The sequence below is a fragment of the Homo sapiens genome, chromosome 10 (assembly GCF_000001405.40).
Source record: "Homo sapiens chromosome 10, GRCh38.p14 Primary Assembly".
NCBI lineage: Eukaryota > Metazoa > Chordata > Mammalia > Primates > Hominidae > Homo > Homo sapiens.
In genome coordinates this window covers 54002958-54023268 of record NC_000010.11, presented here as the reverse complement: position 1 = coordinate 54023268, position 20311 = coordinate 54002958, and the positions used below count along the sequence as shown (strand labels likewise).

The 20311-nt window shown below is 36.7% G+C and overlaps 1 protein-coding gene across 20 annotated transcripts in view; it reads left to right on the top strand.

The window, feature by feature from the left end:
* The window catches only part of PCDH15 (protocadherin related 15), a 1825172-nt gene that overhangs the window by 1604674 nt on the left and 200187 nt on the right, over window positions 1-20311 (top strand). For all 20 annotated transcript variants that reach the window (XM_047425663.1, NM_001354420.2, NM_001354429.2 and 17 more), the window contains 2 exons: window positions 72-377; window positions 2853-3077. In XM_047425663.1, coding sequence (XP_047281619.1) covers window positions 72-377; window positions 2853-3077 — 531 coding nt within the window. The remainder of the gene's footprint in view (window positions 1-71; window positions 378-2852; window positions 3078-20311) is intronic.

Below are 20311 nucleotides of genomic sequence, written 5' to 3'. Positions count from 1 at the left end.
CTGTTACCTTCATTTACAGTAGCCCGTCAAAACTTACGTGAATTTTTTTGTTTTTTTGTTTTATTTAATAGGCAACAGACCCTGATGCTGGAATAAATGGTCAAGTGCACTACAGTTTGGGTAACTTTAATAATCTTTTTCGTATCACATCCAATGGGAGCATTTACACAGCAGTGAAGCTTAACAGAGAAGTCAGGGACTACTATGAACTTGTTGTTGTGGCAACAGATGGAGCAGTACACCCTCGTCATTCAACTCTAACCTTGGCCATCAAGGTTTTGGACATTGATGATAACAGTCCTGTGTTCACCAATTCAACATACACTGTCCTTGTTGAAGAGAATTTGCCAGCTGGGACTACCATCCTTCAAATAGAGGTGTGTGGGAAAAAGCATTTATTACATGAATCCTACATTAGGAGATTTGCTATTAGGGTTTGTGTGCCAAAATTAGCAAGTAACAATACAACATACCAAGTTGGATTTTAATTTCAGATAAACAATGAATAAATTTTTATTATTTCTCCAATATTGCATATTGTATTTTATGTGGCAAGCCTACTTTAAAGATATCCCAAAAATTAAGGGCAGAAAGATCTATTTGTAAGAAATTAAAAATATACTTTTTAATAGTTTTTTAATTTACAAAAGTAATATTCTGTTTATTCCAACAGTTGACAATACAATAGTTTATGAAGCAAAAGTTAATAATCTCCCACATTGTGCCTCCAGAGTACTCAGCATTAAATTTATTTCACATTTATCTTTGTGTTCACACAAATGTCAAAAAATACATATATATATATGAATTTGTGTGGGTTATACATATATAACATAAATGTGTACACACAGAAAAAATATAGAGAGTTACAAATTGGTTTCCCCTCTATTTTACAAATATTGTTTATACCCATTATTCTGTATTGTTTTCACATTCAATACACAAAAGCCATCTTCTAGTAATCTAACTCTCCTTTTTAATGACATCTCTGTATCAAGCCTCTTTTTTAAGTTTTTAACTATAAATTACACAGTCCTGAACATTTTGATTCAGTAGATTAGGCTGATCCATAAATCTGCATTTTTAAGCAACCACCTCATTTAATACTGACTCAGTTGGTCTATAAGGTATGTTTTGGAAAAAAAAAAAAGTAGCCATTTTTCCACCTGCAGTCCACAACTTGAATGTTTTTAGCATACTTTTCCAGACTCTGTATCCCTTCCATAATTGAACTCAGCAATAAACATTAACAAATCTAAATAAGGCAAATACTGGCCAGGGAGAGAACAATTATTCCTTCATCTATTCCACCATTCATCTGTCAATTAATTAATTAGTTAAGTTATTTATTTAACAAACATGTCTTCAGTATGTATAGTATGCCAAGTCTCCTGCTGGTGTTGTTAAATTCATGCTGTCCTAGGGGATGCAAAGACTTTGGGGATACAAAGGTGAACAAAACAAATTTACTGCTTTCTTCGAGTTTTCAGGCTGGTTTAGCTATCAGTCAAGAAAATTAGTAGTTAAAACGTAGGTCCTCAGTACAAAGGGCCTAGGTAATAGAGGTGGAGCTCCTAACCTAATCTTAAGGCAAAGAGAATATTTGCTAGAGAAACTTATTTCTAAATGGTGAACTGAGGGACAAGTAAGAGCTATCCAAGCAGAAAAGGAAGAAAGATTGTTCAAAGTAGTTGGGGGGAAAAAGCCTGGTCAAAATCATGGAAGATGGGAAAGTGTGAGGGGTGAGGGGCTAAAGGTCTAGAAAATGTAGTGGCTCTTACCATGTTAAGGATAATGGCGTTGATTGAAAATTGAATTAAAAACCAGGGGATTTTAAGCAGGAAAAACCACATAATAAAATGTATGCTTTAATAGCATCTTTCTGATTGTTAAGTCAATAATTGATTGGAGGAGACCAAGGCTGAGGTTCACCATAGGAGGTGTTTGCATTTAAAAATGCACATTATAGCATACTCTGGATCTTCCCCATTTTCATTCTTGCTCCATTCGGTTTTCTGTACCTGAGGTGCATTTGCCAGTCTGTACTGCTGAGTGAAATAGCCATTCTACAAGACTCCCATGAAAACCCATCCTTTCAGCTAAAGGATATCGTTCCCAATTTAGAACATCTTTTAGATAGCATGTCACATTTTTTTCCTTTCTATTTTAGTATTTGTGTCTTGTTTCTTCTCTGAGACCATAACCTGTAGGGCAGTAATTGTGTCTGGATTCATTTTGGTGCTCTCTACAGCACCTTGTGCGTAACTACTACTCAAATCCTAGTTAAATCAAAGGAAGTATGGTAGAGTGATCTCTAGAAATGTATTATAGGATCCCTGTGACAAATAATTACTACTTATATTTTCTCAGTTTTCTTATAGTACTTTAGCCATCTATTATGTTTATGGAAATCACTCAGTATTTATTTTTATTTAAAATATTTGTTCATGATTATCAAATCAGTAGAAAATAAGAAACAGTCATTTAAGACAATATTTATTTTTTTACTGTGATATAGTTCATTTAGTGATTTTTCAAGTTAAACAGATACAGTAATAACGTCAACAATGACAAAATCTTATAGAAAGATCCCTCTCTCTCTCTCTCTGACTCTCCCTCTCACTGTCTCCCTCCTTTCCTCCCTGCCTCCATCTTTCTCTCCCCCATCCCTCCTTCTCTTCCCTGGTAAATTATTAAATAATGTGCTTTTTTAAAAAACAAAAACAAAAAACGTGTCTTTTTGTCCTCGTTAAATTGATGCTGTCCTAGGCACTAACGCATGACTTCCATCCTTCCTGCATTTCTTTATTTTGGTAACGTCACTAATAAAACTATTCTTCTGCTTATTACAGGCCAAAGATGTCGACCTTGGAGCAAATGTGTCTTACCGGATAAGAAGCCCAGAAGTGAAGCACTTTTTTGCACTACATCCATTTACAGGAGAACTATCGCTTTTAAGGAGTTTAGATTATGAGGCATTTCCAGACCAAGAAGCAAGTATCACTTTTCTGGTAGAGGCCTTTGATATTTATGGAACAATGCCACCTGGTATTGCTACTGTCACAGTGATTGTAAAGGTAAGGGCTAGAGATGACTTCTGGTTGCCTGCTTTGCTCTCTCTACATGTAGGTTTTGTTCCTTCTATTATACCTATAATATGTTTTGATAACAATTCCTAATGACACAGTGGTACCAGACCCATAACATAGATTTTCCAATGGAAATATTTATGAATACATAAGAAATAACTATATTTTTGACTATAAAAGATAAATTTGAAAGAGGCAGTAAATATGTGTACAAAGACCATGGAAATTTGAGTCTGCATCAGCTCTGTGACTTCCATCAAGTCCTAACCTCTCTAGACTAGATTTTAGTTCAAATTCCACAGCATCAGGCATAATTATTTGGTACAAATCCTTCAACTAAAAAAATTTTATATATGACTCTGAAGGGCCAAGAGTTCTTAGGCCCTAAAATTAATTTAGGGCCCAAACCTCTGGAATGAAATAAGCTTCCAAGTTAGATGGAATTGAGGTTAAATTCTGGCTCAACCCTTTTTAAGCTCTATGACCTTGGGGACTTTGTTAACCTCTCTGGATTTGTTATCCCATTTATTATAATACCATGTGCCAGATGATTGCCTGAAAGAGCATGGCATTTTTAACTTTTTGAATTTCTAGTGATTTTTAAGAGACAAAAGTAGATATGAGAAGAAGTACTGTAAGTTGATCAGTTCTCAAATAGTAGTACATACCGTGATCCTCTGAGCGTCATCTTAAACTTTCAGATTTCTCTACTCCTTCCCCAAAGAAGGACCTGTCCCATGGGGACCATCATAAACATCAGCATTTGAGAAAAGTACACAGATGTTTCTTATACAAGACATCTGAATCCCATATTGAGAAATTTACTTCAATTACAAAGATACATATACAAAAATCCTCAAGTTACTTTACTAAATGAGTATATTACTAAAAAATGACTTTACATGACAATAATTTCTTAGGCAATATAAAGTAAAAGTTCATTCACTATCATGGTACATTGTAAAAATTTTTGTTTTGGTAAGGGAAGAAAATAGAAACTTAAAAAAGTCTTATTTAAAGTGTTTTTTTCTGCTTCCTGAATAGACTTGGAATGATGAAAAAGGGCTGGTCAGAAAGGAATAGAGATACCTGCACAGAGCAAGGGCAGTGGAGGGAGGAAAAAGACAGAAGATCTATAAGATAAATGAAGCACTTGCAAAGAAGCCTATAGAGTATATCAATGACCATGAATAAAATAGATGAATATGAGTAATTAGTTGAATAAACAATTTAACTTTAGTATACATGTTTTGATTTATATTTTATTCACAGTTGTATCTATGTTCTACCCCCAAAAATATAATTGATAATTATGGCTCAGATTTTACCAAGTGACTATAGATATCAAGTTTCTATGTTAAAAAACAATGAAATCTATGGGCTTAGATAGAAAAATGTGGAAAGATGTGGACATTTTTAATAAATGTTTAGTTGCAGGATCATACCATAGGATTGGAATGAAATATTGGCAACCACATATTGTCTACTACATGGTGATACTATTCATGCTTCATATAGTCGCTAAAATGTGTAAGAGCTGAGTGGGATCAAAGTTACATGACTTACCAACTTTGTTAGGTTATCTAATCCTGGAGATCATGCAGATAACTCTAGGCATCTATGTTCACTTAATCTTTGCCAGTATTATATTTTCAGGTTGTATTTTGTTCCCATGAATGCCTTTTCATTTGTTCTTTTGAAGTGATTATAGTTAAAGTCCATTATGTGTTTAAGGTGAATTGTTTAGCAGAATTTACCTATGATAATTACTGACAATTCCATATCATTTGGATTCTGTTGGTTACCTGAAGACTGTGGGAAAGTGCAGATACATTTATTCCTAAAAATAAAAGTTCCTGAGGATTACTCCCTTTTTCTTTATTTTTATTTTTATTTTGTTTAGTGGCCAGTACTACAATAGCAAAGCTATTATGTGAGATCATTCAGATTCTGCATGTGCAACACAAATGTCTCTGAGGGACCTTAGTAGAAGACTATATGTATCCAGGGTCCTAAGGAAAAGAAGGTCATAGGCAACTTTTCTACAATTCTCATATTATAGGGACTACAAATAAGATTTTCTTTTATTTGAAATGATGGAAGAAGAAATCATCACTTTTCTTAGGTTGCAGTATGATTGTTATCCTGCTAAATAGCTAGCCATATGCTAGTGGTTTTCTTAGACAACAAAGTAATGATGTGAAAAAAGATTTCACCAATACATAATTAGTATAACTGTATTTTTCCAGTAGGTTAATGTTCTTGACCATAAAATTTTGGGGTATGGATTTTATTTTTTTAAGATAATTCTTCAGTCACAGTGAAACACGGAAGTATTCCACTACCTTTTCTTTTTTTAGTGTCTTATTTTACATTTTCATATTTTATTTTAGATTCAGGCATTACATGTTCACATTTGTTACATAAGTGTATTGCATGATGCTGAGGTTTGGGATATGAATGACCTTGTCAACTAGATAGTGAATATAGTACCCAATAATTAGTTTCTCAACCCCCGCTTCTTCACTTCCTACCCCACCCAATTTCTGTCTATTAATTTTCAGTGGCTATTTTTATGTCCAGGAGTACCCAATATTTAGTTACCATTTAGAGGTGAGAACATGCAGTATTTGGTTTTATGCTCCTGAATTAATTTGTTTAGGATAATGGCCTCAAGCTGTTATCTATGTTACTGCAAAGGACATGGTTTTATTCTTTTTTATGGCTGCATAGTGTTCCATGGTGTATATGTACCCCCTTGTATTTATCTAATTCACTGTTGATGAGCATCTAGGTCGATTCCATGTCTTTGTTATTGTAACTCATAAAACTTTGATAAATACATATTATATCTTGGCTGGGCATGGTGGCTCATGCTTGTAATCCCTACACTTTGGGAGACCAAGGTGGGTGGATCACCTGAGGTCAGGAGTTTGAGATTAGCCTGGCCAACATGATGAAACCCCACCTCTATTAAAAATACAAAAAATTAGCTGGGCATGGTGGCACACAACTGTAACCCCAGCTACTCAGGAGGCTGAGGCAGGAGAATCGCTTGAACCCGGGAGACGGATGTTGCAGTGAGCTGAGATCACAGCACTGTACTCCAGCCCGGGCAACAAAAGTGAAACTCCGTCTCAAAAAATAAAATAAAATAAATGTTATATCTTAACATATGTTGTCTCTTGTAACTGAAAACATATTATTATTTTAATTCAAAAGGTTTAGGGAATGGTCGGGTGAGTAATTCAAATGATTCTGAGTAATTTCCAACACTTTTCTTTCTTTAAAGCTTTTAATTTAGGTTCATAGATACATGTGTGGTTTGTTATACAGGTAAATTGTGTGTCACAGGGTTTGACTGTACAGATTATTTTGCCACTCAGGTAATGAACATAGTACCTTATAGGTAGTTTTTTTATCCTCACTCTCCTCCATCTGTCCACCCTCAAGCAGCCCCCAATGTATGTTGTTCCCATCTTTGTGTCCCTATGTACTCAACGTTTACCTTCAGCTTCTAAGTGAGAACATGCAGTATTTGGTTTTCTGTTCCTATGTTAGTTCAGTTAGGATAATGGCTTCTAGTTGCATCCATGTTGCTGCAAAGGACATGATCTCATTCTTTTTTATGGCTGCATAGTTATTCCATGGCATATATGTGCCACATTTTCTTTATTTAGTCTACCATTGATGGGCATTTAGGTTGATTGATTTCATGTCTTTATTACTGTGAATAGCATGATACTAATGATACATGTGCATGTGTCTTTATGGTACAACAATTTGTTTATCTTTGTGTATATACCTAAAAATGGGATTGCTGGGTCAAATGGTCATTTTGCTTTGAGGTCCTTGAGAAATCACCAAACTGCTTTGTTCCATTTTCTCCTCAACCTCACCAGCATGTTTTTTTTTTTCTTTTTTACTTTTTAATAGCAATTCTGATTGGTGTGAGATGGTATCTCATTGTGGTTTTGATTTGCATTGCTCTCATGATTAGTGATGATGAGCATTTTTTCATATCCTTGTTCACCATATGTATGTCTTCTTCTGAAAAGTGTGCGTTCATATCTTTTGCCCACTTTTTAAGTGGGAGGTTTGCTTTTTGCTTGTTGATTTGTAAGTTCCTTATAGATTCTGGATATTTGACCTTTGTCAGATGCGTAGTTTGTAAGCATTTTCACCCATTCTGTAGGTGGCCTGTTTACTCTGTTGATAGTTTTTTTGTTTCGTTTTGTTTTGTTTTTGCTATGCAGAAGCTCTTTAGTTTAATTAAGTCACACTTGTCAATTTTTGCTGTTGTTAAAATTGCTTTTGGCATCTCTGTTATGAAATCTTTGCCAGGGCTTATGTCCAGAATGATATTTCCGAGGTTATCTTTGTGTTTTTATAGTTTTAGGTTTGACATTGAAGTCTTCAATCCGTCTTGAGTTGATTTTTGTACATGGTGTAAGGAAGGGGTCCAGTTTCATTTTTCTACATATGTATAGCCAGTTATCCCAGCATCATTTGCTGAATAGGGAGTCCATTCTCCATTGCTTGTTTTTATTTATTTTGTTGTACATCAGATGCTTATAAGTATGCAGCATTATTTCTGGGATCTCTATTCTGTTCCATTGGTCTATATGTCTGCTTTTGTACCAGGACAATGCCGTTTTGGTTACCGTAGCATTGTAGTATAGTTTGAAGTCAAGAAATGTGATATCTTCAGCTTTTTTCTTTTTGCTTTGGATTGTCTTAGCTATTCAAGCTTATTTTTGGTTTGATATGAATTTTAGAATACATTTTTCTTGTGAATAATGCCTTTGGTAGTTTAATAGGAATAGCATTGAATCTGTACTTTGTTTTGGGCAGTATGGCCATTTTAATGATATTGATTCTTTCTATCCACAAGCATGGAATGTTTTTCAATTTGTTTCTGTCATCTTTGATTTCACTGAGCAATATTTTAAATTCTCATTGTAGAGATTTTTCACCACCTGGTTAGTTGTATTCCTAGGTACTTTTTTGTGTAACTATTGCAAATGGGATTGCATTCTTGATTTGGCCCTCAGCTTGGATGTTGTTGGTACATAGGAATGCTATTACTGATTTTTGTACATTGATTTGGTATCCTGAAACTTTGCTGAAGTTGTTTATTAGATCAAGGAGTTTTGGACAAAGACTATGGGGTTTTCTAGGTGTAGAATCATATCATCTGCAAACAGGGGTAGTTTGACATCCTCTCTTCCTAATTGGGTGGGTTTTCTTTCTTTCTATTGCTTTATTGCTCTAGCCAGGACTTCCATTACTATGATGAGTGGCAATAAGAGAGGACATCCTTATCTCGTTTCTCTTTTCAAGGAGAATGCCTCCAGCTTTTGCCCATTCAGTGTGACGTTGGCTGTGCATTTGTCATAGATGGCTTTTATTATTTTAAAGTATGTTCCTTCAATGCCTAGTTTGTTAAGCGTTCTTAACATGAAAGTATGTGGAATTTTATTGAAATCCTTTTCTGCATCTAGTGAGATGATCATGTAGTTTTTGTTTTTAGTCCTGTTTCTGTGGTGAATCACTTCTGTTGATTTGCCTATATTGAACCAACCTTGCATCCCAGGCATAAAACCTACTTGACTGTGGTGGATTAGCTTTTCAATGTGCTGCTGGTTTGCCAGTATTTTGTTGAAGATTTTTGGATCTGTGTTCATCAAAGATATTGGCCTGAAGTTTTCTTTTTTGTTGTTGTTGTGTCTCTGCCAGGTTTTGGTATCAAGATGATTTTGGCCTCATAGAGTGAGGGAGGGATGCCTCCTCCTCAATTTTTTGGAATAGTTTCAGTAGGGATGGTACCAGCTCTTTATACATGTGGTAGAATTTGGCTGTGAATCTAACTGGTCCTGGGCTTTTCCTAGTTGGTAGGCTCTTTATTTACTGATTCAATTTCAAAATTCATTATTGGTCTGTTTAGGGATTCAGTTTCTTTTTAACACAAACTTGGGAGGTTGAATGGTTCCAGGAATGTATCCATTTCCTCTTGGGTTTCTTAGCTTGTGTACCCAGAGGTGTTCATAGTCTCTGAGTGTTCTTTTATATTTCTGTGGGGTCAGTGGTAATGTCTTTTTTCATTCAGTCAGTCATTTCTGATTGTGTTTAGTTGGATCTTCTCTTTTTTTTTCTTATTTGTCTAGCTATTCATCCATCTATCTAATTAATTCTTTCAAATAACTAAGATAATTCCTAAATTCATTTATCTTTTATATGGTCTTTGCATCTCAATTTCCTTCAGTTGAGCTCTGATTTTGGTTATTTCTTGTCTTCTGCTAGCTTTGAGTTTGGTTTGCTCTTGTTTCTCTAGTTCCTGTAGATGTGATGCTAGATTGTTCATTTGATATCCTTCTGACTTTTTTAATGTGGGCATTTAGTGCTATAAACTTCTTTCTTAACACTGCTTTAGCTGTGCCCCAGAGATTCTGGTATGCTGGATCTTTGTTTTCATTAGTTTGAAATATTTTATTTCTGCCTTAATTTTATTGTTTACCCAGAGATAATTGAGGAACAAGTGGTTAATTTCCATGTAATTGTATGGTTTTGAATGTTTTTCTTAGTATTGATTTCTGTTTTTATTGCACCATGTTCAGAGAGTGTGGTTGGTATGATTTTAGTCTTCTTCAATTTGTTACAGATTGTTTTGATGTCCAATTGTGTGGTCAATTTTAAAGTATGTGCCATGTGGTGATGAGAAGTATGTATATTCTGTTGTTTTTGGGTGGAGAGTTCTATAGATGTCTATTATGTCCATTTGTTCAATTGTTGAATTCAGGTCCTAAATATCTTTTTCACTTTGTCACCTCCATCATCTGTCTATTACTGTCCATGGGGTATTGAAATGTCCCACTATTGTGTGGAAATCGAAGTCTCTTTGTAGGTCTGTAAGAACTTGCTTTATGAATCTGGGTGCTCCTGTGTTGGATGCATATATATTTGGGATATTTAGATCTTCTTATTGCATTGTATCCTTTACCATTATGTAAGGCTCATCTTTGTCTTTTGTGATGTTTGTTGATTTAAAGTCTCTTTTTGTCTGAAATTTGGATAGCAACTTCAGCTTTTTCTATTTTCTGTTTTCTTGGTGGACTTTTCTCCAAACCTTTACTTTGGGCCTATGGATGTCATTGCATGTGAGATGGGCCTCTTAAAGACAGCATAACGTTGGTCCTTGCTTCTTTATCCAGCTTTAAATTGTGTCATTTAGCCCATTTACATTCAGTGTTAATATTGATGTGTGTGAATTTGAGCCTGTCATCATATTGTTAGCTGGATATTATGTAGACTTATGTCATTGCTTTATAGTGTCAGAGATCTGTGTATTTAAGTGTGTTTTTGTAGTGGCTGTTCACATGTAGCACTCCTTTCAGGAGCTCTTATAAGGCAGGCCTGGTTGTAATAAATTCCCTTAGAATTTGCTTGTCTGAAAAGTATTTTATTTCTTTTTTGCCTATGAAGCTCAGTTTCACTGGACATGAAATTCTTGGGTTGAAATTCTTTTATTTAAGAATGCTGAACATAGGCCCCCAATCTCTTCTGGCTTATAGGGTTTCTGCTGAAAGGTCCACTGTTAGCCTGATGGGTTCTCTTTGTAGGTTTCCTGCTCTTTCTTTCTAGCTGCCTTTATATTTTTTTCTTTCATTTTAAAAAGAATGAAAGAGAATCTGATAATTATGTGTTTTGGGGATTGTCTTCTTATATAGTATCTTGCAGTTCTCTGCAGTTTTTAAATTTTAATATTGGCCTCTCTAGTGAGGTTGGGAAGTTTTCATGGACAATATCCTGAAATATGTTTTCCAAGTTGCCTGCTTTTTCCCCATTTCCCTCAGTGACGCCAATGAGGGGTAGATCTGGTCTCTTCACATAATCCCATATGTTTCAGGGGTTTTGTCCATTCTTTTTTATTCTTTTTTTAATTATTACTTTTGTCCTTCTTAGTTAGTTCAGAGAGCCAGTCTTCACGCTCTCTGATTCTTTCCTTAGTTTGGTCTCTTCTGCTGTTAATGCAATCACAATATAAAACTCTTGTAGTGTGTTTTTCAGCTCTATCAGATCATTTTGGTTCATTCTTATAATGGCCATTTCATCTACCAGCTCCTGTATTGTTTTATTGTAATCCTTAGTTTCCTTGGTTTGGATTTTGACTTCCTCCCTGATTCTCAATGATTTTCATTCCTACCCATATTCTGAATTCTATTTCTTTCATTTCAACTATTTCAGCTGAGTTAAGAATCCTGGCTAGGGAACTAGTACAGTTGTTTGGAGGAAAGAAGACACTTGTTTTTTGAGTTGCCAAAGTTCTTGCACTGGTTCTTTCTCATCTGTGTTCGCTGATGTTCTTTCAACTGTCTAATTTGAGTACAGTCAGTTGGTTTATTTAGATGTTTTCAGAGGAGTGAGGTTTTGTGCATGACCTTTATTTGTAACTGAGCTCTTGTCCTTGGTTTCACAGAAGAATATATTAGCAAAATATTTTTAATAGTAAAGTTTGGGCTGTGATCCAGCAGATGGCACTTAACTGGAATGGCCAGTAGGTAGACTCTTCGTCAGTCTCCTCTATTTCCTAAGGATTGTTGTGCCCCTTCTCAGTGATCTGAAAGTGTCGGCTCCTTTTGCACTTGACTGCTGGCTGTATATCTGTTTGGCACTCCCAGGCTACACATTGTAGCTCTGGGGCAAGCTCAGGCTTTATGTTCTTTCCCCAGCTTAGACACAACAAGGGAAGGGACCTTGGCTGTGGCTGTGGCAGATGGCCTTTCACTTGTCTCTTGGTGCTCCACCCCAGAAAAATACAGAGCCACTACTAATCAGTACAGTCAGCCTGGGGTGTGGTGGCTGCATTGTAGGACCAAGCTTGTGGGTGATGCAGCTGTCTGGAGGTGTGGCTAAAGCACTCAGGGTCTTTGCTCCCTCCACAGTCTGAGGGCAGCAAGGGCAATATCACTGCAGCAGCAGTGGTAGAGGGGCTTTCGGTTGTCCCTGGGTGCTCAACCTGAGGGAAACTCAAAACTGCTCCTACTGGGAATGTCCAGCCAGGGAGTGGGGTGGCTGCACTGCTGGCCTGAGCTGGGTAAAGAACGGGAGGTTGAGGATTCACAGGGAGGACAGTCTGGGCTTCTCTCTATATGATGACTGTGTCCTCCTGGAAGAGTGAGTAAAACCTTTGGCCCTTTCTTTCTTCTCCAGTCCAAGGGCAGCAGGGGCAGAACTACTGCTGTGGCAGTGGCAGAGTGGCTGTTAGTTGACTGTAGGAGCCCCTCCTTAAGGAAACACAAAGCCACTAGCAGTGAGAATGCTCAGCTGGAGATGGGGTGGCTGTTCCGTGCTCCCGAGCTTAGGCACTGCCTGGTAAAGAGTGAGAGGTGGGGGCTCACGGGAAACAGACACTGGGCTTCTGTCCATATTGTGGCTGTGGTGTGCTGGAGTTCCTGCATAGTGGCCAAGCCCTTTGTTCCTCCCCAGCCCAAGGGTAGCTGCAGTCACAGAGAGGTTGTGGATTGTCTCTGGGGTTTTCTCACCACTGACTGAAGTGTTAGGCATTGACAAGGTGGTTGTGCTAGGGGCCCAAGTCCAGAGGCACTGGGCAGTAAAGAGTAGCAGAGGCAGAGACCTGCATAGAAAGCAGTCTAGCTGCTTTTCTGTAATGCTGCCGTGCTGTGCTGGGCGTTTGCATCAGTCTCCAACCACCACATTCCCTCCTGAGCCTGAGGGCAACAGGAATGAGGACTGTGGAGCAGCAAAAAATGGTGACCTGCCTTGCCCTCTGGGAGCTCTGTCCCAGGAAAGTACAGAGCTGCTACTGGCCCAAGAGCCCAGGTCGGGGGTTGCCGAGGTCCTAGGTTGGGAAGCCCTGCCCGGTGAGAAGTAGCAAGGGTGTGGACCCACATGGAAAACAGCCTACCCGCTTTTCTGTAAGGAAACTGCGCTGTGTTGGGGGTCGGCATTAGTCCCTAATCCCTGTCCCTCCCAAGCCTAAGAGCAAAAACAGGGAGGGTTGCAGAGCAGCAAAAATGGCAGCCAGCCTCTCCCTCTGGGAGCTCCGTCCCAGAGAAGTACAGAGCTGCTCCCGACCCAGGAACTCAGGTGGGGCTGGAATGGACAGTAGGCCTTATCCTGCAAGGTGCAGCTGAGATGAGGCCTGCAATGTTTCACTGCTCAGCCTCGTGGATTTGGCCCCTTTACTGGAGGCATGCAAGTCTGGCCTCCACTGCTGCAGGAGCTACAGCCACTGGTGCCAGAGTGTCTGGGGATACAAGTCTCCTGGGACTCCCTGTGTGCCTGAGTATGGCTCTGCCAAGACTCCACATGGTTCTCCGTGTCAGCCTGGAGGCACCGGTGGGGAGCTCATGGGGGAGATCTCCTGAGTCCAGGGATGCAAAAGTCCATGGCAGAAGGTGGGTCCCCAGGGACTCACTTACTCACTGTTTCTCCACAGTGGGAGGACTCCCCTGACTCTGTGCCACCCCAGGGTGGGCAGTTGTCTTGTCTTGCTCTCCTCTGTTCTCTATGTGTTATGCTGTTTCCTGATGAATTCCAGTGTGTCTCCACCTGGATTTTTCAGATGAGCTAGTGTCCACTCGCCAGCCTTTCTTTTCTCAATGAGATTGACACACACCAGCTCCCTCTAGTTAGTTCTCTTGGCCCCCACCTCTTTCGCTGTCTTTTTTTACACTTGACCTGGATTATCTGCTAGCACACAAATTGATGCCATTTCTTCTATGGATACTGTTTCCACCTCTAAACTACCTTGGAATGGAGATCGTAAGCTCCTTCCATCCTCGGACACCCTAAACCTGTTGGGAGAGTTTTATCAGGATCTGGGTTCTTTATTTCTCGGGGGTCCACATGTCTATATACTTAATTATTCCGTTCTTGTGTCTCTCTGTCCTAAGATATTTATTTCAGGAGGTAAGAAATGTGTCTATTTCAGGAAATTAAAACTTTATTCAGTACTAAATTTTCTTTGGAAATAGGAACTCAAACTGTCAAAATCTTTTCTGGGGTAACCTGATTTTTCTTTTCATACCTCTCTTTCCCGAGACAATAATTATCAGTGCTCTAGTGGTCTGGAAAAAGGATCAAGGGACAAGACAAAATTATGGATTGCCTGAAGGGAGGGCTTTGATTGTATTGTATTTTGAAATATGATTTTGTCACACTATTGTGTTATAACATTTAGAAATCTGTTACAAAAATATTTAGGGAATATAATATTGGTGGTTATGAAGATGCCATAATATGTAAGCAGATGAAAAAGACTAAGGTGAGAGTGATCTATATAGACTAAATAGCAAAATATCTTCTGGACCAGGTGAAAAATTTGCCTTGGTTTACTCTTGTCTACTCATATGACTTGGTGGAATTGAACAGTTAAAACATTAAAAATAGAAAAATAATTCATTTATTGATGATTTTGGACAAAGAAGAGAAAAAAAAGACTTGCTATTAATGACATTTCCCCTTTTCTTCCCAGATCGAAAAATAGATCCTCAAATGGTGTGGCCTTTTCTCTGATGAGGGTGTGGTTGATGACAGACAGTTATGGTAAACACTCATAGATTCTGACTTGGCAGCTCTGGATTCAATTTGGATATATTTGCTTGGCTTGTTTTGATGGAAAATGTTAGGGGAGTTAAATTATGTCCAAAATTATCACCTCAAAAAGCAAGATATGCCCTAAGTAACCCTCATTCTGTATCTGGGCCTCATACCTCTTTAAAAAAGTTCTTAATGTTGCCTCAACATCCCTTTATTTCAATATGGGGGTATTACTTAACGCTTCTACATCAGCAGCTGGAAGATAATTTATTCCTCAGATAGAGAAGAGTGTTGGTTTAATTCGTGTTGTATCAATTGCTTTATCTTATTTAGAGAAATCACACCATTCCTTTGGTCAAGGCGTCCTGACTCATGCAAAGTCATTGCCTATTTATTATACATTTAAAGCAAAACTTAACATTTAACTCTAGACATATGTAATACCACTTTTTTATTCCAAGTTCATCTAAGCATAATAAAATTTGTAGGAAATTCTCCCAAATGTAGACTGACACTTGCTTTCCTCTTTTCTGATAACTCAGGGTGGGGATTATCACAAATATAACTTTAAAATTCTAGTATATACTACTGAGGCCCATAAAATATTATTATCCTTTTTTTAAGAGAAGAATGGAGTACAATTCTCAGTTCTCTACAAATGTAGTCTTTACCAGCTTTTCAAATTGTCTATACTTGGTCTAATTACTCGCAGTACTGAAAAGCTGTTTTGTTGATAACATAATTGTATGGTATTCGCTAGGAGATACTTGGACCCAAAAAGTCACCACAGGAAAACATCTTGAAGTTCTTTCTTTCAAAATGAGCAGAAACATAATTTCTTTTGTAAACAAGAGGAAAAAATAAAAGATGAAGTGTTTAATGCCTAGTCCATCAAACCTGTTTAAAATTGGAGCAAGAATGGGAAAATTCAAGTATTATTTGGAAAAACAATATTTCCACAGTATAAATAAAAATTTTTATCAAGACATCTGCACACAGCTTTCTTAGTGTCAAGTTTTAAGAATCCAAAACAAAACCTGTGATGATCAAACAAATAACATACATTTTTTCTTGAAAAGATTTTATAGAACATCAATGTAACAAGGCTTTTTCCTTGTATATACAAGATATTTACTTGTGTATTTTACTTGTAGATATTTTTCTTGTATATTTCTAGATATACTAAATATTTAGAAGAACTGAATCTGTGATGATAGTAAATTAGAGATATTTTCTTGTGTATTTTACTTGTAAATATTTTTCTTGTATATTTCTAGATATACTAAATATTTAGAAGAACTGAATCTGTGATGATAGTAAATTAGATGATATAAGCAAATCTCTGGAAAGTGAAAATAAAATTCTAAACAATTTTAAAAGATCCAGAGTGATAACTAGCCTTACAAACTAAGTTATAATAGAAACCTGGTCTTAGAGTCTGCGTTGTAACATAATATAGAAAATACACAGAAAGAAAAGGGCTGTTCTACAGCAAACTGAAAACTGAATATGAATCTGAAAAGCTGAATATGTAAATGGATATATTATACTAAGCAGCATTATAAGGAGTATAAAGAACTTGTCTGAGATAAACAGATGACCCAAGTCATTTTGCTCATTATAATTTTGGATAGAATGGCTGCATGGGAGTAGGAGAGAGGGAGACATGCTTCTGTGAAGACGGGAGACTAGATTGACCCTTGGTTGTGTTTGCCTGTCTTAGTGTGCAGGTGTGGGAGTAGGCAGGGAGGGGTGAAATGACGAGAAATGAAGTATCATCAGGTTCACCTTGTAACAAGGGCTGAGGTTGTTGTTAAACACAGTGAGTCTTGGAAAATGAAGCTAAGATTTCCACCTTTCAGAGGAGTTTTCTTCTCCAGAAAGAAATATTGCTACCCCATAGAATAGAAGAAAAAGGATAGCTTTTCTAGATGAAAACTCAGTGCCCAGTACCAAGGCAGCATTTGTGAAACCGTGGACACCTGAGAGGCAGTTACGTGCTACTGATGCTCCATCATGACAGTGTTGATAGGGTCCTGCTTTTGATTTCATCAGAAAAGCTGATGCTTGAGAGACCAGGAGGTTGTCCCAGACTCAAACAAAACAGAAATTCTGGACATTTCATCTACAGCATACCTATTGTATGGAGGTAAGAGGTATTGTCTGGAGGTGGGAATTTGAATAAATGATAATTTCTGTGAACCAGCTAGTTGGTGTATGGTCAGATTTAATATTGTTTTTTACAACTTGCTAATTGTTCTGTTGGGGTTGCTTTGAAGTATGGCTTTCAAATGTTTCCCTCTCTTCTAGTCCGCATTTTCAGATTCCTATTGGTGTGTTCTTTATATTATATTTGTCAGTGAACTTGGTGATAGCAGGAGAAAATATCTTTAATTCTACTATTCTAGAGTTTTAGGACTAAGATATAACATATTTCCTATAAAAATCCAAACCAGAGAAAACAAAGAAAATGTGCATGTCCAGGATTAAAAATAGTATATCTACGTAGTAAAGAATCTCTCCCATGGCTCCATAAATATCACCCACTGGTTTCTGGGAGACACCAGAAAGTGCCTCTCTCATATACTTTTAACCTTCATTGATTATGTCGTTGCACATTATAGGATCTCATTCTTCTTTATGGTTAAATAGTACTCCCTTGTGTACCTGTACCACATTTTCTTTCTCCATTATTCTGTTGATGGACACTTAGGTTGCTTCCAAATCTTGGCCATGGTAAATAGTGCTGCAATAAACATGGGAGTGCAGATATTTCTTTCATATACTGATTTCCTTTCTTTTGGCCATGTATCTAGTAGTGGGATTTCTGGATCGTATGATAGCTCTATTTTTAGTTTTATAGGAACTTCCATACTGTTCTCCATAGTGGTTGTACTAATTTGCATTCCCACCATCAGTGTGTGAGGGTTCCTTTTCTCCACATCCTTATTAGCATTTGCCATTGCCTGACTTTTAGATAAAAGCCATTCTACCTGGTGTAAGATGGTGTCTCATTGTAAGTTTGATTTGCATTTCTCTGATGATCAATGATGTTGAGCACCTTTTTATATACCGGTTTATCACTTGTATGTCTTCTTTTGAGAAATTTTTGTTTAGAACTTTTGCCCATTTTAAAATCAGATTACTAGATATTTTCTTACAAAGTTGTTTGAACTGCTTATATATTCTGTTTAATTCCTTGTCAGATGGGTAGTTGGCAAATATTTGCGCTCACCCTGTGGGTTGTCTCTTTACTTTGTTGATTCTTTCCTTTGATGTGCAGAAGCTTTTTAAGTTGATGTGATCCCATTTGTTCATTTTTCTTTGGTTGCCTGTGCTTGTGAGGTATTACTCAAGAAATCTTTGCCTAGTCCTATCTCCTGGAGAGTTTCCGCATGTTTTCTTTCAGTCATTTCATAGTTTGAGGTCTTAGATTCATATCTTTAATCAATTTTGATTTGATTTTTGTATATGGCATGAGATGGGGCCTAATTTCTTCTTTTGCATATGGATATCCAGTTTTCCTGGCATCATTTATTGAAGAGACTGTCCTTTCCCTGGTTACATTCCTGGCACTTTTGTCAAAATTGACTTTGCTGTAGTTGTGTAAATTTATTTCTGGGTTCTCAATTCTGTTCCATGGATATATGTGTGTTTTTTTTTTTTATGCCAGTACCATCCTATTTTGTTTACTATAGCTCTGTAATATTATTTAAAGTCAGATAATGTGATTCCTCCAGGTGTTTTTTTTTTTCCTTTTGTTTAATATAGCTTTGGCTATCTAGGTCTTTTGTACTTCCATACACAGTTTAGAATTTTTTTTCTGTTTCTTTGAAGAATGTCATTGGTATTTGACAGGGATTGCATTGAATCTGTAGAACGCTTTGAGTAGTATGGACATTTTAACAATATTGATTATTGCAATCCATGACCATGAGATATCTTTTCATTCTTTTGTGTTCTCTTCATTTTCTTGAATCCATGTTTTATAGTTTCCATTGCAGAGAACTTTCACTTCCTTGGTTAATTCCTAGGTATTTTATTTTAATTGTAGCTGTTTTACATGGGATTACTTTATTGATTTCTTTTGCGGATTGTTCACTGTTGGCATATAGAAATGCTACTGATTTTTCTGTGTTGATTTTGTATCTTGCAACTTTACTAAATTTATCAGTTCTAATACTTTGTGTGGTGTGTGTGTGTGTGTGTGTGTGTGTGTGTAGTCTTTAGGTTTTTCCAAGTGTTAGATTTTATCATTTGCAAACAAGGATAATTTGACTTCTTCCTTTCCAATTTAGATGATCATTATTTTGTTTTCTTTTCTGATTGTTCTTGCTAAGACTTCCAGTACTATATTGAATAACAGTGGTGATAGTGGGCATCCTGGTTGTGTCCCAGATCGTACAGGAAAGGCTTTCAGTTTTTCCTCATTCAGTATGGGAGTAGCTACGGGTTTGTCATATATCACTTTTATTATGTTGAGGTATGTTCCATCTACACCCAGTTTTTGAGGGTTTTTATCATGAAAGAGCATTGAATTTTATTAAATGCTTTTTCAGAATCAATTGAAATGATCATATGGTTTTTCTCTTTCATTCTGTTGATGATATATCACATTGATTGATTTGAATATATTGAACCATCCTAGTATCCCTGAGATAAATCTTATTTGGTCATGATTAATGATCTTTTAAATACGATGTTGAATTTCTTTGTTATTATTTTGTTGAGGAATTTTGCATCAATATTCATCAAGGAGATTGCCTATAGTTTCTTTTTTGGATGTCTCTTTGTCTAGCTTTGGTATCAGTATTATTGTCTTTATAGAATGAGTTTGAAAGTATTCCCTCCTCCTGTTTTTTTTTTTTTTTTTTTTTTTTTGGAATAGTTTGAGTAAGATTAGTATTAGTACTTCTTTAAATATTTGGTAGAATTCAGTAGCAAAACCATCAGGTTCTGGCTTTTCCTTTGCTAGGTGACTTTTCATTACAGCTTGATACTTGTTATTTGCTATATCTTGTTACTTGATACTAGTTTGTTCAATGTTTTGGATTTCTTCATAGTTCAATCTTGATGGGTTGTGTGTGTCTAGGAATTTATTTGTTTCTTCTTGATTTTCCAATTTATTGACATATGTTTGTTCATAGTAGCCACTAATGATCCCTTGAATCTCTGCAGTATTAGTTGTAATGTTTTCTTTTTCATATCTGACTTTATTTATTTGGGTCTTCTCTCTTCTTTTTTAGTTAGTCTGGCTAAAGGTTTGTCAATTTTATATAACTTTTTAAAAAAACAAACTTTCTGTTTCATTGATCTTTTTATTGTTTTCTTCATTTCAAATCCATTTATTTCTGCTCTGATCTTTATTATTTATTTTCTTCTACTAATTTTGGCTTCAGCCTGCTCTTGCTTTTCTAGTTTTTAAAGATGCATCATTAGGTTGTTTTGTTTAGTTGAAGTTTTTTTCCTTTCATGATGTAGGCACTTATAGCTATAAATTTCCCACGTAGTAAAAATTTCAGTATATCCTATTGAATCAAGAGTTTTTCCTGCTGATGGATTCGTGGTCTTGCTAACTTCGAAGAATGAAGCTGCGGACCTTCACAGTGAGTGTTACAACTCAAAAAGAGTCCACAGACCAGGAGAGTGAGCAGCAGCAC